Source organism: Homo sapiens, chromosome 20 (assembly GCF_000001405.40).
Source record: "Homo sapiens chromosome 20, GRCh38.p14 Primary Assembly".
Lineage (NCBI taxonomy): Eukaryota > Metazoa > Chordata > Mammalia > Primates > Hominidae > Homo > Homo sapiens.
In genome coordinates, this window is record NC_000020.11 from 56994395 (window position 1) to 57016435 (window position 22041).

The 22041-nt window shown below is 48.2% G+C and overlaps 3 annotated features.

Annotated features, from left to right (window-relative positions):
• Positions 1052-1580: an enhancer, noted in NCBI's record as "H3K4me1 hESC enhancer chr20:55570502-55571030 (GRCh37/hg19 assembly coordinates)". NCBI's record gives its function as "activates a minimal SCP1, AML or CMV promoter by ChIP-STARR-seq in naive H9 embryonic stem cells {active_cell/tissue: H9 hESC(naive)}" and the evidence as "EXISTENCE:reporter gene assay evidence [ECO:0000049][PMID:30033119]".
• Positions 9205-10072: an enhancer, noted in NCBI's record as "H3K4me1 hESC enhancer chr20:55578655-55579522 (GRCh37/hg19 assembly coordinates)". NCBI's record gives its function as "activates a minimal SCP1, AML or CMV promoter by ChIP-STARR-seq in primed H9 embryonic stem cells {active_cell/tissue: H9 hESC(primed)}" and the evidence as "EXISTENCE:reporter gene assay evidence [ECO:0000049][PMID:30033119]".
• Positions 20292-20455: a silencer, noted in NCBI's record as "fragment chr20:55589742-55589905 (GRCh37/hg19 assembly coordinates)". NCBI's record gives its function as "represses an EF-1alpha promoter that drives an FKBP-Casp9 reporter gene in an ReSE screen in phorbol 12-myristate 13-acetate-treated (for megakaryocytic differentiation) K562 erythroleukemia cells {active_cell/tissue: K562(+PMA)}" and the evidence as "EXISTENCE:reporter gene assay evidence [ECO:0000049][PMID:32094911]".

Here is a 22041-nt window from a genome sequence, read left to right on the forward strand (position 1 = left end):
TCTTGGGAAGTCTTTGAAAGCTGGAAGGAGCTTTTCCTGAAAGAAGAGGTTTGGCTAGTCTGGTCTCTTGTCTTTTAAACTGCCCTGCAAGGACAGAAAAAGTCCTTGGACTTCTCATTGCAAAATCTCAATCCACCGCCTCCTAGGTTGGCAGGAGTTGCTGCTGGGGAGAGGGAGTGAGGCATGCTGGGAAGAATGTGGAAGGTGAAGTCCAACAGGCCTGAGTTCAAATCCCAGCTTTACCTTTTTCCAGCTGTGTGACCTTGGGCCTCAGTTTCCCCATCTGCAAAGTGAGGATAATGCTTGCACCTACCTCACAGAGTCACTGGGAAGGTTTAATCAGATTATGCATAAGGAGGCATTCATTCTATCTTTAAAAAATATTTACGAAACACTTAATATGTGCAGGAACAGTTCTAGGTGCTAGGACTACAACCGTGAGAAAAACGCCTTGCAAAGCTCACATTCTAGAGGAGGAGACAGATAATACCAGCACCTGCGATGCAGTAAATGCTCAGTGATTCTTAGCCACAGGCAGAAACAGGTTGCTTGGGGGACCCCTCTTCTGGTTAGTGGGGAGGTCTCAGAGAAAGGAGGTGATCAGCTAGCTGGAGACCCCAGAAAGCATCTCCGACAAGAGGAAGCATCTAAGGTCAAAGAACAGCTGGGTGGCTGATTGGTGACATTGACAGCATTCTACTTTCTGAAGCTATAGGAAGATAAATCAACTCTATGGGAGCTGGCTCTGGCCTCCTCCAGGGGGTTGGAGGTAGTCACAGTAGAGGGGCTCCTCTAAATTCTCAGAAAGCCATTCTGGGTAACTCAGCACCCATGGCTGTGGCCTCCTGGGAGAGGCAGAGATAGAGTCAAGACGTCTGCTCCCCGGCCTGCCCTTTCACTCCCATCTCCTCCACCCTTCACAGGCGCCGCTCTCAGTCTGGGCCCCTCTGCAACACCTGGAGATGGGCCAGCTGTGGAGCAAGCATCTGCTCCTTAATCCGCCCCCAGGGTTTGGCCTGCTGGAGGTGCGGCAGCACCCAAGGGTGAGTGGTTCCGGAAAGGAAGAGACAGCCCTTTGGACACGTTCACGAGTTTGTTCATTTATTCAGTGATTAGACATTGTTTGGAGCATCTATTGCAAACCAGGCACTGGGGGTGTGGGGCTGTGGGGTCGCCACTAGCTCGGCAGAGGGGGGAAAATGGTACATTTTAGAATCACAAAAAAATAGCTTCAAATAGTACATAATACCATCTCCTCAGGTCCTGAGACCCTCACCTTGAGCCCACGTGTTCCCTGCCGCTGGGGTTCAGCAAATGGCAGCGCTTTCATCAAGGTAGAAAAGAAAAACAACAAAAAAGTCAGAGCACCTCACCTGTGCCACCTGGTGGCGGGATCTGTCCGCACTGCAGCCCAGCAGCTTGCCTCCCGCCACCCACCGCCCCAGGAGGCTAACCCTGCCTGGTGGCTCTGGGACTGGGTGTGAGGAAGGCTCCTGAGGCCTGTCTGGCCTCCAGGATCTGGGTGAAGCCAGAGAAGCAGGCTCCGAATCACCCCAGCCTTTGCAAAGCCTTAGGAGTCAAGTTGCTGCATATGGGAAGCCTGGGGCTCCGGTAACAGCTCAGCAAGGCTGCGACAGCCCCGGGCCAGGACTCAGGGCGAAACAACCCTGTTGCTGGCTCCCTGGCTTGGGACAATTTCTAGTTTCCCGAGTCTCAGCTTGGTCTCCGATGGGGAAAGTGTCCCTTCCTCTCAAAGGTCCATTAGCCCAGGGTGCCTTGATTCAGTGAGGAGGGGTCTGGACTAGATTAGGGACACAGAATAAGGAAAATTCCCATATCCCCATTACCAAGAACTCCTACTGCAGGAGAGTACAGCGTGGTGTGACAATCAGGGACTCGGGACCAAGAGGCCTGTAACCGACTGCTATCCGGCCTCTACCTGTGTGGCTTGGGCAAATTGCTTCACCTCCCAGGGCGTCTTTATTTATGAAAGAGAATAAATGTATCCTGATTATAGTGTTGTTGCAAGGAGTAAGCAGGAGGATGTAGCCAAAGCACTTAACACAGTGTTTGGCAAGAACTGTTCAATAAATAAATAATTACTATTGTTATTACTATTATTTCTTGAGCATTTACGTTCTAGGCACCATAGCAAATGTATAGCAATAGTAATAAACAACATTTGATGAAAGCTTTCTTTATGCCAGGCCCTATGCTGAGAGCTTTATATTTATTATTTTCATCATTTTGATCCCCACTATTCTATAAGGTAGGCTATAATTACCTCCAATTTTGATGAGGAAACTGAGGCCCAGAGAGGTTAAGTGACTTGCCCAAGGTCACACAGCCAATAAGGTTCAAAGGTGAGATTAGAACACAAGTCTGTCCACTCCAAATGGCTGTGGGAGTTAAAATAGATATTCAAAGGTGGCCACATGGTGGGGGGCATTGAGATCTAAGGGACAAAAATGATGAGTTCTTCAGTTTAAGATGAGTTACTCAGGTCGCAATGAACGTGAAGATGGAAGTGGCCATTGTGTCCCTTTAGAAGCCTGGGAGTATGGATCAGGAGGCTGCCTGGGAGGTGATATTGCAGCTGCTACAACCTCAGAGAACTGGGAAAACTTGGGGTGCAGGCCAGAGGGAGCGCAGACTGAGGAGCTGAGCTAGTCTCAGGCTGGCAGCCACTTGGGGCCTCCGCAGGCAGGAGAGCAAAAGTGGGAGACCAAGAAGTGGGGCATGAAGCTGAAGAAAGAGGAAGGCTCTGTGAGGGTCCCAAAGGGCCTTGTCAGTGATGCCACAGAGTTTAGCCTTTATCCTGAAAGCCACGGGAAGTCTTGCAAGGAGATTAAGCAGCAAGAGGATCAGGTTGGCATTTAGAAAAATCACTCTCTGGCTGGGAGCAGTGGCTCACAACTGTGATCCCGGCAATTTGAGAGGCCAAGGCAGGAGGATCGCTTGAGCCCAGGAGTTTGAGACCATCCTGGGTAACATAGTGAGACCCGCTCTCCACAAAAAAAAAACAAAAATTAGCCAAGTGGGGTGGCAGCATATGTCTGTAGTCTCAGCTACTTGAGAGGCTGAGGTGGGAGGATCACCTGAGCCCAGGAGGTGGACATTGCAGTGAGCCAAGATTGTGCCAGTGTACTCCAACCTGGACAATAGAGCAAGACCCTGTCTCAAAAAAAAAAAAAGTAGAAAAATCACTCTGGAACCTATCACGTAACCAAAAGCCACCTGTACCCCAAAAACTATTGAAAAAATAATAATTTAAAAAAAGAAAAATCACCCTGTTTGCAGCGTGGAAAATGGATTCAGCTGCCTCCATCTAGTTCTCCAGCCTGTCTTTTAAATATTTTTCACCACAATTAATATACATTCACTGTAACAAATATAAATGGGACAGGAATATGTAACATAAAAAACTCTCACCCTCCAATTCTAATCTTCAAAAGTAATCACTATACTATAAAGCAGTTTTGACACACACAGTTTCAGATTTTCAGCTACACATATAGACGACATGGATACAAATATAAAATTGTCACCTAGCAACTGTTGGGAGAGCCTATCATTTCGGGTGACACCCAGGGTGATGTTTCCCAAATTGCACACCAACCCACTCTGGTGACAACGGGGCCCAGACCAGTTGTTCTTAACCAGGCAATCCAGGGGCATTTGGCAATACCTGGACACATTTTCGTTGTCACAATGCAGGTGCTTGGCAGGAGCTACTGGCATCTAGTGGATCAAGGGTGCTCTGTGAACATCTTATGTATTATAGGATCCCCACAACCAAGTGTCTTCTGGCCCAGATGGCAATAGTGCCAAGGCTGATAAACCCTTGGGATCTTTGAGGGAATTCCATACTGGTGAGATTTGCTAGTTGCAAGGAACAGAAATGCAATTTATTTTTATGGTATCAGGCAGCTCCTGAAATTATCTAGAGGCTGCAGAGCCAGGTTCATGCAGCCAGGGACAATGCCCTTCATCCTGATGTGGAACTGGTCAGGTGATGGCATGGTGCACCGCTGCACCTGCTGAGCACAGATGCTGCACTTTGCCCCAGACTGTTCTCTGGACTCTGCTTCTGGAACCCATTGTAGCCATTGCAGCTGCCACCTCCCCACAGCTTCATCGGTGCTGCCCGGAGCTGCAGCTTTGCACTGGCAGCTTTCACTATGTGTTTGGGATGGGTGCTTCTGATTGGCTGAGTCTAGGTCATGTGTTCATGTCCTAGCTGCAAGGGAGTCTAGTAAAATAAGTTTGCCTCATGTTGAGCTCCTATAGGGAATGGCTCTTTGCCTTATAACGCAGAGAACTCCTCAGACATGGGATGGAGGTTTGGAGGAACCTGACAAAGGGCCAGTCTATCCAGAGACAGGATGTTCAGTAACAGTACCTCAAGCCACACTGAATTTTACTGTGAACCATGTATTGTTTCTCTCCTGTTCAGGTCACTTTCTACCTCCTAGGTAATCTGTCTCTGACTCTTGCTCATCTCTCCTGGTAGCAGAGACAGGCAGGTGTCAGGCTTGGGTCTAGGGTCAGCCACATATCTAGTTAAATACATAATAACTTGTTTTCATGATTTTTCCTCTAATAATCATTTTTAGGCTTTGTTTTCTCCTGAACTGTTCTTTCTTATGAGATCTTAATGCCATGGATATATTGCATATCTCTTTAGGTTGTCTGTTTATCTGTGTTTTATCAATAAAAAGTGTAAGACTTTCTTATCCACTCTCCCTCATCCTCCCCAAACAATATTTGCCCTCCTTGGGGCAATTTTGCCCTGCTGAGACTGCATGGAGAGACAGACCTTATGTTTAGAGTGTCTCCAACTAGCCTAACATCAGACTTAACAGAGGAACCCTCCTAAAAATACAAATCCCTGGCCTTGATCCAGACCTATTGATTCAGAAATATCAAGAGAACAACTTGGGAATCTGCATTTTTAACAAGGGCCTCAGGGGATTCTTATGATCAGATAAGTTTTAGAAATGATCATGTGGGCCAGGAGAGGTGGCTCATGCCTGTAATCCCCGCAATTTGAGAGGCTGAGGTGGAAGGATCCCTTGAGGCCAGAAGTTCAAGATCAGACTGGACAACATAGTAATACCTCATCTCTAAAACAACGAAAATAAATTAGTGGGGAGTGGTGGTGTGCACCTATAGTCCCAGCAACTCAAAAGACTGAGTCAGGAGGATCGCTTGAGCGAAGGAGTTGGAGGCTTCAGTGACCTGTGATTGCACCACTGCACTCCATCGTGGTGACAGAGCGAGACCCTGCTTCAGTGGTGGCTCAAAACCGTGGCTGCGGACTGGAATCACCCAGGAAATTTAAAATTCGATCCATGTTCTGTCCCCTCCCACAGAGATCCTCAATGAATCAGCGAGGGCATGATGACCCTAATAGGCGGTCAGGTGGTTAAGGCTCGGATAGGCTGAGTGGGTCGGGATACTGGCGTTGCAGCTCACCAGCTGGGTGTCCTTGGGGAGGTAGCTTGCAGTCTCTGAGCTTCAACTCCTTGGGCCTGGAAGATGAGGTCTGGTGAGCATCAGTGAGGGGGTGGACATTTCGTGGTCCACACATAGTAGGTTCGAAATAAATGGGAGCTCCTTGGCTATTACAATTCAGAGGCTGAACATTCCAGATCTGTGTTTGCACCTGTCTTGATCTGTCGCCTGTTGGTCTTGTTAAAATGTGGATTCTGATTCAGCAGATCTGGGTGAGACCCAAGATTCTGCATTTCTAACAAGTTCCAGGAAACATCAATGTTGCCAGTCTGAAGAGCAAGATGCTACCTAGACCAGGGTTTCTTCACCTTGGCATTTGTGGCATTGTGGCCTGGATACTTCTTTTGTGGGGCTGTCCTGCACAGTGTAGGGTGTCGAGCAGCATCCCTGGCCTCTACTCACTGGAGGCCAGGAACACTCCCATCCCCAGTCCTAACAACCAAAGATGTCTGCAGCCATCGCAAAATGTCCCCTGAAGGGACCAAATTGCCCGCAGTTGAGAAACACCAGCCCAGGACAGTGAGATGATAGTGAAAAGAGGAAGAAATAACTAGTGACCCAAGTCAGCTGCCTCTGTGCGACCTGAAGCCCAGAGGGTTGGGACGTGTGTGTTGCTGGATGACGACATGAACGGAATGAATGAGCCGATGTAGAACGCCTGGGAGACAGAGGAGCCCCTCATGTGGAACCTGATTGCTGCAGATCTTGGAGTTTGGTCTCCCCTGGCTGCAAGAGAAGAGTGTAGACGAAACACAACCAAAGTGACTCACTCTGGAGAACAAACCAGACCATTCACAAGCAGAAACCAGCGCAGGTTCAGTTATGTTTGGTATACCCAGGAGAGAAGGGAGGCAGTGTCCCAATTCATGTACAGACACGATGTGGGTAAGTTTACCGTTGTGTACGTTGAGGTTGCCTTTGAAGGGAAGCAACCCAAGACGGTAACACCAAACAAACACGCCTCTGAACCAAGGCCCCGGAACTGCCAATCTAAACCTCAGAGGGAACCTCCACACACATGCATATGTGCACACACACGAACGCACACTCCTATGCGCATGGGTGGCAAAAAGATAGCAGGTCTGAGCAGGTCGCTGGAAAACACGGGCTCCCATTCATGCGATTCCCTGCATGACTGTACATCATGCAGTCGGCATCTCTAACTGATGCTCCAAAGCATTTTGTTTTATCTGGGATTCAAATCCATGACCACCCAACTCCAGAGCACAAACACTGTCCACAAACCTTCTGTGCAATTCTCAAAGCCATTTCACTTTCATGACAAAACGACCATAATAATATGGCTACTTTTTTGCACATTCTGTCTGCGCCAGTCACTGCCTAAGCATTTTATAGATATCATCTCCTTGAATCCTCACCAGAACAGGACAGAAAATGCACCACTGTCTGCAGATGAGGGCACGGAGAGGTTGAGCAACGTGCCTGAGGTCACGCAGCTCATAAGTGATGAAGCTAGGAAGGGAATCCAAATGTGTCTGATTCCTGAGTCCATGCCCATAATAACAACACTTCTGGCTCCCAGCTGACCCGAGACCCTCACTTCGCAAGTGAACAGCAGCCCCAGAGCAGCAGCCTCGGCACCACGGGAGCTTGCTAGAAATGCAGAGGCCCAGGTGCCCTCAGACCTGCTGAGCAGAAATGCAGAGGCCCAGGTGCCCTCAGACCTGCTGAGCAGAGTCTGCACCCTGGCCAGGTCACACACACGTCACCGTCTGGGGTTTACTGGTGCAGAGAACAGAATGACACCTCGCCTCCTTGCATGTTGAAATCCCTCATCTTCATGAATTAAAGGGTTCTTTATATTTGTTTTCCAGGCTGGGCAAGTTGGCTCATGCCTGTAATACCAGCACTTTGGGAGGTCAAGACAGGAGGATCACTTGAAGCCAGGAGTTCGAGACCAGCCTGAGCAACAAAGCAAGACTCTGTCTCTCCAAAAAAAAAAAAAAAAGAAAAAATTAGCGAGGCCTGGTGGAACATGCCTGTAGTCCCAGCTACTTGGGAGGCTGAGGTGGGAGGATCGATCGCTCGAGCCTAGGAGTTTGAGGCTGCAGTGAGCTATGATCGCATCACTGCACTCCAGGCTGGGTGACAGAGTAAGACCCTTTCTCAAAAATAAATAAATAAATTTGTTTTCTAAAAATTCATTCAAGAAATGAATGCTCATGGGGTTTACAAACATCAGATATGGTGCAGGAGGACTTCTAACAGAAAGCAAAGTCCCGTTTCCACCCTCCCCACCCCACACCCACCAGGGAGGGTGGCTCACAAGGATTGGCTCTTCCTGTGGTTTCTACCCTGTCCCTAAAAAATGCACTCAAATAGCTGTGTATCGACTACGCAGGTCCGACAGGCGCAGTTGGCGATGGATGGATATTTCGCTCAGGTACGTAACCACTCCAAACCTCCTCCCTCCTGCCCGTATATTCACGTCACTGCTTCCAGAACCTCTGCGGGCAGCCTTTGTAAATGTAGACATAGAATTAAACTCGTTTCTTGCTCTTCCACTTTTCCGCAGGGCCCCTGACCATTCCTGTTTTGTGAGATGGAATCTGGAGCCCCATCCCTCCCTCCTTCCTTCCTCTCCTGTCCACTCCTGCCGTGGATCTGGGGATCTGGAGAGGCAGGGCCAGGGTCCGTAGGCTGAACTAGGTGAGCGGCTAAAGTCCAGAGCAAAGGCATGGAGAATTGGGAGCTGGTTTTGACCCAGTCAGTCCCATCGCCTGTCTGAACCTGATACTGAAACCAGAAGTTCCAGGTCGAAGCTCTGGCTTGCCTATATCTCCCCACTGGATAAGACCCTTTTCCAGCGTGAGCCTCAGTTTCCCTACCTATAAGGTAAGACGGCTGTTTTTGTTGTCTGGATTTCTTGGAGTCCATAGCAATGGCTTTCAGCGTTTCCAGCACTGACAGTGTGAGATCTCCTTGGAAAATAAAGTCACCTCAGATGCCATCTCCCCTCAAAGCCATGGAACTCGTCTCCAGCCACAACTCACAGCCTGGCCTCTCTGTCCCCTGAGGTCCACTGAGACCTCTTGCTCTTCTATTTCTTAGAGCCCTGGCAGCCAGGTAGAAACAAATATGGCTGCTTTTGTTATCAGGAGGGAAGCCACACTGTTCTCCCCTAGCAGGGGGTTGGTGTCAGAGCTCCGGGGGAAGGATGTGTCATCTCAGCACTTCTGAGCCTATTCTCTCCCCCTGCTGCGCCCAGCTCTCTTCACACGGTTGGGGGTGGCAGAGGGTCCTGAGCCCTCCCTTCCATGCACACCTCTGCTTGGCTGCAGGCGCTTGTGGAGCTGAAGGAAGTGCTGCCATGCGCTGTGCAGGTGTGTCACATTATCACCCAGGCCCACTTCAAGGCAAACAGATGAAAACGACAACATTGTCTTCAGAGCCACCTGGGCTGTGGGCTGCGGGCAAGCAGGAGGGAAGTTTCTCTCTAGGCACCAGCCCAAGAACAAAAGACTGCTTTGGACTTGAACTGTTCCTTAGTAAGAAAACAGTAACTGGAAGCTGGTTAAAATCATCAGGAGGGCTTTGTGGGATGCTTCGGAGATTTTCTTCTTCCTGGTTATTTAGGATTAACAGTCAGCGTAGAATCTGTGCCTGCATCCAGACACAGGGACGGGAGGTTTGGAGGAGGGGAGGAGGAGAAGCCATGGCGAAGGTTCATAGCTTAGGAGACCCGAAGCCAAGGGAATAGGCCAGAAGCAGATCCTGAGAATGCCATGTGCTCACTGCCCTGCAGGGCTCTTATTGCCCTCAGAGAAAAAGCCACAGTCCTGGCCAACCCCGCCCCCCAGGACTCTATACAGCCCTGTCCCAGTTACAGCCCTGACCTCCTGCCCTTGCTCTGTTGCTCTGACCACACTGACCCCCTCGCAGTTCCTCTGACGTGCCAGGCATCCTCCCGCCCCAGGGCCTTTGCATGCGCTGTTCCCTCTGCCTGGAATTCTTTTCCCCACAATATAAATATGTCTCACTTTCTCATGTCCTTCACCATGTTATCTCCTTCGAGAAGTCTTTCCTGACCACCCTCTGAAAGAAAGGAACTCTAGGCCGGGCATGGTGGCTCACGCCTGTAATCCCAGCACTTTGGGAGGCTGAGGTGGGCAGATCATGAGGTCAGGAGTTCGAGACCAGCCTGGCCAATATGGCGAAACCCCATCTCTACTAAAAATACAAAAATTAGCTGGGTGTGGTGGCAGGTGCCTATAATCCCAGCTACTCAGGAGGCTGAGGCAGGAGAATCATTTGATCCTGGGAGGTGGAGGTTGCAGTGAGCCAAAATCGTGCCATTACACTCCAGCCTGGCAGCTGGGAGACAAGAGCAAGACTTTGTCTCAAAAAAAAAAAGGAACTCTAACCCCACCCTGGCACTTCCTGTGCCCCTCATCGCCCTTGCATCCCTCTACAGGATTCACCGACCTTGGACATCTCCTGTGCCGTTATTTATTTGATTTTTGGTGCACATTCAAGAGCTTAAGAGAGGGGGGATTGCTGTGTGTTCAGTTCACAGCTGCCTCCCCAGCTCTGGAACATCTACAGAACAGACACTGGGTAAGGATTTGTCAGAGGCATGGATGGAGGTTAGGCAGGTAGGGTGCCCTGCTGTGACTGGTGTCAGCAGAAGCTCAAGAGCTCTTTAAGGCTTTAGGATAGGCTGAGCATGGCCCTAGAGGAGTGCACTCTTGGCGCCGTTCCCGTTGGGTGGTTAGCCCCGGTGCTGATGACAGCACTTCCCACCAGAGCCCTGTCCACACAGCATGGTGGGGACCGGTCTTCTCTGCAAGACCTCCCCTGACTCCAGGCTTCATGAGGGCAGGGACCAGGACCAGCTTGTTCACTGAGGCACCCTCAGTACCCAGAGCAAGCTCACACCTGGTGACACCAAGAATACTTGTCCATTAGTGAAATCATTTATTTTCTTAGTCCTCACAATACACCCACGAGATGGGGTCGATTATGATTGTCCTGGAGATGGGGACACTGCAGTGGTGGGGCCTGCATTCCAAACCAGCACATCTCTGACTCCAAAGCCCTAAGTGACAGCCCCAGGGCAATACAATTTATCAGGATGGCCACAGGGCTGGAACTGCATTATTAACCAGCATGGGTCCTGGGCGGCTTCTTAAAAAGGAGGCTCCTCCTCCTTCATCCATTGATCTGGCCAGTTCAGGTCCACAGTCCCTTACTGAGAAGCTATTGATAAGCATGAGCTGTTAGGTGATGCTAATTGGGACTGAAAAAGAATGCCATCCTCAAAGGGCTTCCAGATTGATACACATGTGGAGAGAGAAGCTCCTGGAATCTGGAGGAGCTGCATCCCTGGCAGCTGGGTGATAAGCAAAGCGCCCCAGGTCAGGGTGGGGTGCATCTTGGCTGAGCCCCCAGGGCAGTGAGGTACCAGCAGGGAAGGGAAGGAGAGTGCAGGAGACTCAGGCAGACCACACACACAGCCTGAGCAGGTGCATCCTGGGGCTGGGATGCCCAGGCTATCTGGGAAACTGAGACCTTTGCCTTGGGTCAGAGCTGCCAGGAATCCTAAGGAGGAAGGAAGGTGACGTCGAGGTGGGTTACGACCATTAACCCATGAGGGAGAATCTAATGGCTGGTGTATCAGTCAGGGTTCAGCTGGAGAGGCAGAATCAGTAGGAGGCAGATATCAAGGGATTTATTGCACGCAGTTGGCTTAGGTGACTGTGGGGTCTGGCCAGGCAAGTCCCGAGTCCGTGGGGCAGGCTGTCAGGAACAGCTGTGACTCACAGGCATAGGCCCAGGTCGCTGTCACGGGAGGAATTTCTCCTTATGCAGAGAGCCTCTGCCGGCTCCAAGGTCTTTCCACTGACTGGACCAGGCCCACCTGGGTCATCCAGGCCACCCTCCTTTATTTAAAGTCAGCTGACTGCAGGCTTTAATCACATCTAGAAAACCTCTCCCTGCAACTCTTTCAGGTAGAAGCCGGCCTCCCTCCCTCACCTCCTTCCAGCCTCTCTTTCCAGTCTCAGGCAGGTCTTTCCTCACTGGCTTAGCTAAAGCAGCACAGCACGCCCCCAGCCCTCTCTTTTCCTGCTGTATTTTTATCACTGAGCACCTATCACTTCCTGACATGATATTATGTAACATTTGTTTATTTATTTATTTATTTATTTGAGATGGGGTCTTGCTCTGTTGCCAGGCTGGAGTGCAGTGGTGCGATCTCGGCTCACTGCAACCTTTGTCTCCCAGGTTCAAGCGATTCCCCTGCCTCAGTCTCCTGAGTAGCTGGGACTACAGGCTTGCGCCACCACGCCCAGCTAATTTTTTGTATTTTAGTAGAGACGGGGTTTCACCATGTTGGCCAGGATGGACTCGATCTCCTGACCTTGTGATCTGCCCGACCCAGCCTCCCAAAGTGCTGGGATTACAGGCCACCGCGCCCGGCCCATTTTGTTTATAAATTGACTCAGATGAAAGCTCAGAAAAAGTGGGGATATGTTTTGCAGCTGAAGATTGTGTCTTTAGAGTCTAGATCCTGGCAGCCTGGGCAGTATAGTGAGACCCCCATCGCTACCAAAAAAAAAAAAAAATTAAAAATGAGCCAAGCATGGTGGCGCATGCCTGTAGTCCCAGCTACCCAGGAGGCTGAGGTGGGAAAATTACTTAAGCCCGGGAGGTTGAGGCTGTGGTGAGCCATGATTGCAATGCTGCACTCCAGCCTGGGTGGCACAGCAAGACCCTGTCTGAAGAAAAGGAACAAAACATGGTTTATATTTACCTCAATTAAGTCTTCAGATCTTGTTTTTGGTATTTTCCCCATGACATGATCAAACTATTCAAGCACTGTTGCTCCCTTTAAAAAACCTCCAAACAAACAAAACCCCAAATCTATCACTTTAATGAGCAATGTTTTTATGACTCTTGATGACAGAGGAGGGGAGGGAGGCTGCAAAAACAAAATCAGAAATTCCTAAGAGTTTTTGCCCATATAAAACCCTATCTCTGTTGCATCCAAGCCCGTGGCGATTCACAGCAATTACAAGAACCATCCAGGGAATTCCCCCGTTTCTCACCGTACCTCCTGCTTAGATTTAAGACACTGATAAGCCTTTTAAAAAGGATCTCCCCCTTCCCATCCCCATGACTAATAGGCCTTTCTCAGCTTTGTTCAAACGTCTGTACCTTGAAAGGTTTGGAAAACTGGGATTTCCAAAGAACGTTAAAGCCTGAGCCCGGGAAGATCCTCCGGAGAAGAGCAAATGCTCAGGGGACTCCTGAGCCAAGCATTAAACATGGAGGTTGAGGACAGTTATTTCAAGATTTCTAACAGGAAGCTTTTTTTTCTTTGCCTCTTTGACTTCTAGTAATTAGTTAATTGCCCTTATGACTAGTTTGCAAAAATCTGCAGAAGGAACTTTCAGTCCCTTGAGAATAAAGCCTCTTCTATTTTAAGGATCTTTCTTTCTGTTTTTGGTTTTGGTTTTTTTGTGTGTTTGCTTGAGGTTTGGGGCTGGTGGTACAGGGGAGATTTAAAAAATAGCAGCATTTGGCCAGGTGCGGTGGCTCATACCTGTAATCCCAGCAATTTGGGAGGCTGAGGCGGGTGGATCACCTGAGGTCAGGAGTTCGAGACCAGCCTGGCCAACATGCCAAAACCCTATCTCTACCAAAAATACAAAAAATTAGATGGGCATGGTGGTGCACGCCTATAATCCCAGCTACTTGGGAGGGTGAGGCAGGAGAATAGCTTGAATGTGGGAGGCAGAGGTTGCAGTGAGCTGACACAATGAGACTCCATCTTAAAAAAAAAAATAGAAAAGAAAAGAAACAGCAGCATTTGCTTATTAGCATTAAGGCACCTGGTACCTGGCTCTCCCGCTACTATCCCCCACTCCAGTCCTCTTCCAGAAAGCTCTGGGTCCACCTTTATCTCTCAAAAGCTCTTTTAACACAAATTCTATGGGAAAATGCTCCCCAACAAGAAAAAACAGGGTTGCAGAGTTAAAAACAAATTACCCAGGCAGTGAGAGAGGAAAAAAACAGAGTAGCTGGCCTCGGGGAGAATGAGTGTTTTCAAACAGGATTTCAAAAGGAGATAGCTGATTGATTTAGAGACTTAACAACTCCTCAACCAGAGAAGAGAGAATAAAGAAAAAGCTCAGAGGGCTTGGAGTCAACTCAGGGCTCCTTAAATTTATCTTACAAATGGTGTTCATTCATTTCCAAAACTTTCTAATCACATGTGCAGAACAGACAGGTCTTTCACCTTCACAAAATACATCAGTTCAACGATTTGATTTTCTCTCAGAAATGTCACAGCATAAAGAAGGTTTTCTGTCTTTTTTTTCCCCTTCTTTTTTCTTAGACCTAAAGGTGATATCATCATGACTAACAGCAAAAGGTATTCTTGGATCCCGGTTTTGTTTGATGAACTGTTATATATTAAGTGTTACCCCTTTGGTGAGAGCTGTCAAAACAGTTTCATGTAATCTTCCCCAGGAGAAAGATCTTTGTGATGCCACAAAACTCAAATTATACAAATAACTGTCAAAAGCCATTAAAGTCAGCTGCAGAGGTGGGTGGGGGAGGAGAGAACAGGCGAGAGCCAAATCCTTACTTAACGTGCAGGGAAAATTCAAGATGTGGCATCTGCTCATGCTGATGAACAAGAATTCCTGCCTGCCTGGAATCCAGGGGTGAACAATTCATTGACTTGCACTCCTAAGAGAGAAGATGTAGAGTCTGGTGACACATATGGGCTCTGAAAGACCCCAACAGCCTGGCCTTGAATTCTGGGGCCATTGCTGACTGCTTCTGTCACCTTGGGGGACCTACTTAACCCCTCTGTGCCTCAGCTCCTCATTCTTGAAATGATTTTATTTTCTCTCTTTTTTTTTTTTTTTTTGAGATGGAGTCTCACTCTGTCACCCAGGCTGGAGTGCAGTGGCGCAATCTCGGCTCACTACAATCTCTGCCTCCCGGGTTCAAGCGATTCTCTTGCCTCAGCCTCCCAAGTAGCTGGGATTACAGGCGCGTGCCACCATGCCCAGCTAATTTTTTTGTATTTTTAGTAGAGACGGGGTTTCACCATGTTGGTCAGGCTGGTCTCGAACTCCTGATCCGCCCACCTCAGCCTCCCAAAGTGCTGGGATTACAGGCGTGAGCCACCGCGCCTGGCTCCTGAAATGATTTTAATCATGGAGCCCACGTGGTGGGTTGATGTGAGCCCTGATTCAGGACACGGTGGATGTGGCGGTGGTTGACGAGGGTTGGACTCTGATGATGGGTCCTCGCCCCCACATATTTTCACCCAGTACTTAAGGTACAGCAGGGAGCATTTGCCTGGCGCAGAGGAGATCTGGGGCTGCATTCTCTCTCCCCCACTCTGTGTGGTTTGGGCCAACTTAGGCTTCCAGACACCCAATGGTTTGAGAGCTTGGGAAAAAGAAAAAAATCCCCAATGGAGGAGAAACTGGAGTTGCAAGCATGTCATGTTCTCAGGAAGTGGGAACAAGGCCCCAACCCTTTGAGATTAGGTCGCTGGTTCCTAAGTAATGAGAGCCGGCCAGGGGTCCCTCTGTAAATCTCGGAGCCATCTCCCTTGGATGCACAGGTGAACTCAGGAGATCTCTTTCTTGACATCTGTCCCCAGGAGGGATGGCCCCCAGCTGAGTCTCAAATCAGAAACAGCTGTGGGAGTGGGAGCTGGCTTTTGTGGTTGAAAAGCTTCCATGAAGTCAAATGGCCTTCCACTCTGGGTGGTTAGGAGCTGAAGTCCTTGATGCCCCTCTCAGCAGGTGTATCCTGAAGTTCTCAGCACTAAAAGTTTTTGCAGGAGGCTGATCTTTGCAGAAGAGGCCCTCACCCATGTCTGTGCGCTCATCTCTAACTAAATGCAGGTTGTTCCACTCCACACCCAGGAGCCAGAGTGATCGTTCTAAAAACAAATGGGATCCTGTCTGATCCTCAGGCGAAACCCTTCACTTGCTCCCCGCTGCCCCTGGGTCCGTCCAGGCTTCTGACTGTGGCTCCCAGGCCCTGGAGCCCAGTCCTGCCCAATGGCCTAGACTCAGCCATGGTGCTCTGGACTCTTACTCCCCTGATGCCCCAGGACGGGAGCTGCCTTTTCCCTGTGCCCCCACCCTCACTAGCAGACCCACATGCCTGCCTGCCTCCCCAGGCCCCAGCCTTGTGCCTCCAGCCTTCTCCCACCCAGGTGTCAATCACAGTGACAATCCTATTGCTTCGAGCTGAGCCTCTGTTGTCTTCATTCATTTCTACCCGAAAAGCAACAAGCCCCAAATCACACACATGATAGAAGTAGCGTTCAAACCTAACCTACTAGCAGGAGCCAGATTGCAGGTTCCTGTCCTGGCTTCATCATCTGTTGACTGTGCCTCTGGGCGAGCCACCTCTTCACCCGAAGTCTCACCTTCTCCCTGTAGAAAATGGGATGATGATGGTACCCACCTCGTGAGTGGCTGTTGAAACAGCAAATGACATATTATAATGTGTTTGGCACTCAACAGGCTCTCAATAACTGTAGGCAACTTTTATTGCATTATGTTTTCACTTAACATATCTTAAAAAAAAAAACAGAAAATACAGAAAAGCAAAAAGAAGGTTAAAAAAAATCACCCATAATCTTACCAATGAGAAACAACCAGGATGAACATTTTGGTGAAAATGATTCCAGTCCTTTTTCAATGCATATAATTATACCTAAGCCTAAATAGAAATATGCACATATGCAAACAGATATATATGACATACACATTTACCTCTCTATCTTAGCTTTCCTGAGATGCAATTTGCATACAGAAAATTAATGTATTTGAAGTGAACAATTCAATGCTATTTAGTATATTCATAGACTTGGATGGCCATCATCACAGTCTGATTTTAGAAGATTTTTTGGCCCCAAAATGAAACCCCATCTTCATTAGCAGTCACGCCATGTTTCTTCTCTCTGCCCAGCCCCAGCAACCATGAATCCACTCCCTGTCTCTGTGGGTTTACCTGTTCTGAGCATTTCACATAAATGGAGGCATCTGATGCATGGAGTCTTGCCTGGCTTCTTTCACTTGGTCTCACGTGTTCAAGGTTCAACTGTGCTGTGGCATGGCGAGCACTCTATGTCTTTTTATGGCTGAGGGATATTCCAGGCTATGGACAGACCGCATTGGTTTGTGCATCTTACCAGTCGATGAACATTTGCCTTGCTTCTACTCTTTATTGTGTTATTGTGAATAACACCTCTGCAAGCATTCAAGTGCAAGTTTTTCCGTTTGTATCTATTTTAGGGGATTGAAATCTACACACTGTTTACAAGGTGCTTTTCCCACATTGCAGATATTCTCCATTAAATATTCTTCTGCACAGTCACTGGTCTGGGCTTCATGGGATTAAATCTTGGGATATAACATAATTCACTTGGCCGCCCAGTTATTAGTCAATCTCAGCTCCATGAGTGCCCCGTGTCCGGTTTGTGCCTTCCTATCATCCCTCCCTCGTTCCAAAAGCATCTCAGAAGCTTGATGGCTTCACCTGTGAGACCCAACTCACTGGATGGTTGGACCCAAAGTCCCCCTGAGAGATAATCTCCCAGCAGTGCAGCCGTGAGACAAGGATGGGAGAGCAGCGAGCGTGGGACCAGGTGGGTTCCTGCCAGGGGAGCCCAAGGTAACAGGGGTGCGATGGGCTCCTCAGGCCCCTCAAACCCAGCATGTGCAACGCTGGCTCAGCCCTGACCTTCTACATTCCTATGTTCCCTCCATGCCCTTCCCAGAACCTCATTTGGAAATATGGGGTCATTCCCATGCTTGAGGATGAGAATGCTTGTGAGGATTCCCATGGCCTGCCTGCCCACCAAGCCTCAGGGCCAGTCCCCCTGGGCTCCAGGAGCAGCTAGAGAACAGTTCTCTCTCTCCTCCTGCCAGCCTGAGCGTGTGTGTGTGTGTGTGTGTGCGTGCGTGTGTGTTGTGGGGGTAAGAGGACACATTCTCCTCCCCAATTTTCAAAGATACAGTCATGGCCGGGCGTGGTGGCTCACGCCTGTAATCCCAGCACTTTGGGAGGCTGAGAAAGGTGGATCACTTGAGGTCAGGAGTTCAAAATGAGCCTGGCCAATATGGTGAAACCCTGTCTCTACTAAAAATCCAAAACAAACAAAAATTAGCCAGGCTTGGTGGTGCACTCCTGTAGTCCCAGCTACATGGGAGGCTGAGGCAGGAGAATCACTTGAACCCGGGAGGTGGAGGTTGCAGTGAGCTGAGATGGTGCCACTGCACTCTAGCCTGGGCGACAGAGAGAGACTCTGCCTCAAAAAAAAAAAAAAAAAAAGAAGATACAGTCATGCATCACTTAATGCTGGGGATATGTTCTGAGAAATGTGTCATTAGGTGTCATTGTGCAAACCTCATACACAAACCTCAATGGTATATCCTACTATATACACCTAGGCTACATGGTGTAGCTCATTGTTCCTAGGCGCCAAACCTGCACAGCATGTGACTGTACTGGGTACTGTAGGCAACGGTGAGTATGTGTGTATCTAAACGTGGGAAAGGTCCGGGAGGAATACAGTGTTAGAATCTTATGGAACCACTGTCGTATATGCCGTCCATGGTTGGCCAAAACATTGCCCTGCAGCACGTAGCTGTATTTCGTCTCTGCCCACAAATCCTCCTCACCCTCCTTTTTAGCTACTCTGTGCTCGCTCTAAATTTTCTTTTTTTTTTTTTGAAAAACAAAGGCCAGCCGGACTTGTAGGCCCCTCTGCTCTCCCCTGCCTCGTTCCACTGGAACGAAGGAGACAAGGAAGAGGCAGGGGTGGGGAGACCAAGAGGAGGAAAAGTAAATACCTAAAAACCACACCTGGCTGCCATCAAAATAATAGCCAACATCCTCTCCATTCACCTCACACAAGCGGTGACATAGTTACTGCTATTATGCCCATTTAATAGATGGGGAAAACTGAGGCTCAGAGAGGTGGGTTACCTGCCCAGAATCACACAGCTCATAAACGGTAGATCAATGATTTACACCCAGGTCTGTCTAGGCCCCAGCTCCAAACCACCATGAGATACCCCCGAATCGCCCCTTTGGTGTTCCTACTCTCTGTGAGAATTTTAATTTTTTTCCATTCTTGATTGTTCTCCTTTCTTTCCTGTGTATGTATATACAAACGTATTTTTAGCTATGCTAAGTAATTCTCTGCCATTCAAATAACATGAAATGTAACAGTAAAAATGTGAAAGCAATTTTTAAAGCTCAAAATAAGTGGCTGTGCGTTTAAAATAGTGAACATTTTCTAAGCTTATTCTAATATGACTCCCTTTAAGAGACTGTAATCTATGAAAAACCTTTGTTTATCAATAAAAGTTCCAATTCAGTTCTTTTTCACTTTGGAGAGAGTGAAAAACTAACTCATAAAATCATCATCTTGTTAATACTCTCCTCACCCTTACTAAAACACACACACTCTCTCTCTGTCTGCCAAGTTATGGCAAAATCTCCATTGCACATGGCTTAGTTTTAATCCAACACTGCTATGTATAATAATGTTTATTTATTTTTGTAAGGGCAAAAAAAATTTAAACATTTTTACAAAAGTGAATGTTTCTCTTTGATTTTGCACTCTCTCCTATGTTTTCCTTTGTTTTTATTTCCCGATTTCATTCCTTTGGTCACAAAAAAAAAAAATATGTATTTTTTGCCCAAGTGATTCTGGTCAATTTCGGTATCTTTTTCAGGGTTTTGACATTTGAGAAAACTTAATCTAGGTCAGGGAGTACCTGCTGCTGAAAAGAATCTTCTGGAATGCCATTTTGATTTGGTGTAACCTTTGTTAGCAAGTTCATGTCAAAGGTCACTGAGCACATAGAGTGCGGGGGATGGCCAAGACCTAAACAAGGGAATACATGTCAAAAGCAATTTTCCGAAAGTGCCTGCCTCGACAAGCAAGCCACCGGCCCGCGCAGTCCGGGGCTACAGAGCGCTCAAGACCTTTCCCTCGGGTGCTGAGGGAAGGATCCCCTATCAGAGATCTCCAAGGAAGGCCCCGCCTCCACCTGCCCCTCCCGCAGGAGAGCGCTGCTGCAGAATCTGCCGCCTGGCCGGTGTTCACCCAGCGAACGAGTTCTGCTCCCAGCTCGTTTACTCATGAAATTAACTGCTGCTTCGAAGGAACGGCAGTTCATGTCAAAAGCTGCACCTGAAATCTTTCACCTCTGCGTTTTCCTTCTACCTGTTTGCAATTCTCACGTTCGCCCCTCACCCTCAACTCGAATGCTGGGTTTGACCCCACTCCTAATATCTTCAAATCATTTTCATTGATAGGGCACCTTGTGTTGTAAAAACGGATTTACTTTTTAAATAGATAATTTTTATATTAGTCGATGTACAAATGTGCTAGAGAAAAAGAAAACTCCTTTCCCCCGTTCACTCCAGCCATGTGGTTGCCCTCCCCAGAGGCAAATCTATCTATCTATCTATCTATCTATCTATATCTATCTATCTATCTATCTATCTATCTATCTATCTATCTATCTGTCTGTCTCTCTATATTTTTTGAGACAGGGTCTCGCTCTGTCGCCCAGGCTGGAGTGCAGTGGCACAATCATGACCCACTGCAGCCTCGACCTCCTGGACTCAAGTGATCCTCTCAGCTCAGCCTCCCAGGTAGCTGGGACCACGGCACGTGCCACCAAGCCCAGCTAATTTTTCTATTTTTTGTAGAGATGAGGTTTCGCCATGTTACTCAGGCTGGTCCCAAATTCCTGGGCTCAAGCAATCCACCCACTTTGGTCTCCCAGAGTGCCGAGATTACAGGCGTGAGGCACCATGCCCCGCCCAGGCAATTAATATTACCAGTTTTTTATACTTTTCCAAAGATGCTTTAGGGATATGTCAGCAAATATGTGCATATAGTCACTTTTCCTTCTTTTTACACAAGTGGCAGCAAGCTTTACTCATGGTCCATAGGACACTGGATGGTGTTCTTTGGGGCATCTTCCAGCAATGAGCTACTCTCTGCAATGCTTGGTGTACGATAATCCTAGCAGCTAACACCAGGGCTTTCTGAGCTAGCACTAGGCTAAGCTTATCATGCTCACTTTCTCACTGAGTTCTCACCATAACTTAATGTGGTAGATAGTATTATTATCTCTGCTTTGCAGATGGAGCAGAATTTAGAGAGACTCAGAGGCACATTTAAGTGACATAACACACAGCTGAGTGGAAGAGATGGGATTTGAACCCAGGTTGGCCTGACCAGAGAAATCTGAACTAATTTGTTTGTCTAGAGTTCAATTTCACTCTTATAGTATGCTACGTTAGGTTAGGTTTCATTATGTTTATTGAGCAGCTTCTATGTGCCAGGCACAGTGCCAAGGCCTGGAGATACAACAGTGAACAAGAGAGAGATGGTTCAGCCCACATACAGCCCATGATCTCTGTGGGAGACAAACTTCAAACTAAGGTAGTGGGTTGAACAGAGTCCCCAATATTCATGTCCATCCAGAACCTCAGAAACAACCTTATTTGGAAATAGGTTTTGACAGAAGTTGTTAGTTAAGAAGAGATCATACTGGATTAGGAAGGGCTCTAAATCCAATGACTGGTGTCCTTCCTAGAAAAGGAGAGGACACACAGAAAGACACAGGGAAGAAAGCCATGTGAGGACGGAGGCAGAGATTGGAATGACACTGCTACAAGTCCAGTGACACCAGGAGTCACCAGGAATGGGAAGAGGCCTGGAAAGGATTACCTCCTAGAATCTCAGGAGGGAGTGTGGCCTTGCTGATACCTGGTTGCAGATTTCTCGCCTCCAGAACAACGTGAGAATGAATTTCCGCTGTTTTAAGCCACCTGGGTTGTGGTCATTTGTTACAGCAACTCTCACAAAAAAATACAGATGCTACACACACAGGTACATGGGTAAGATGCTACGAGGGATGAGAACAGGAGGCCCCTAATTTAGGTTTGGGACAGGATGTTGGGGAGGGTGGTGTCTAAATCACAGAGTGGGCCAATCACTTGCACAGGAGAAAGAATAGAATGTTCCAGAAACATGACTTTGCTAATTCTTATAATTCTTATAATTTTCCTTCCTTCCTTCCTTTCTTCCTTCCTTCCTTCCTCTCTCTCTCTCTCTTTCTCTCTCTTTCTCTCTTTCTTTCTTTTCTTTTTTTCTTTTTTCTTTTTTTTGGACAGAGTCTCACTCTGTCGCCCAGGCTAGAGTGCAATGGCATCATGTCGACTCACTGCAACCTCCACCTCCCGGGTTCAAGCGATTCTCCTGCCTCAGCCTCCTGAGTAGCTGGGATTACAGGAGCCCGCCACCACACTCAGCTAATTTTTGTATTTTCAGTAGACACAGGGTTTCACCATGTTGGCCAGACTGGTCTCCAACTCCTGACCTCAGGTGATCCACCCGCCTCGGCGTCCTAAAGTGCTGGGATTACAGGCGTGAGCCACTGTGCCTGGCCTAATTTTCCACTTTCTAGGAACCGCATTCAAAAAGAT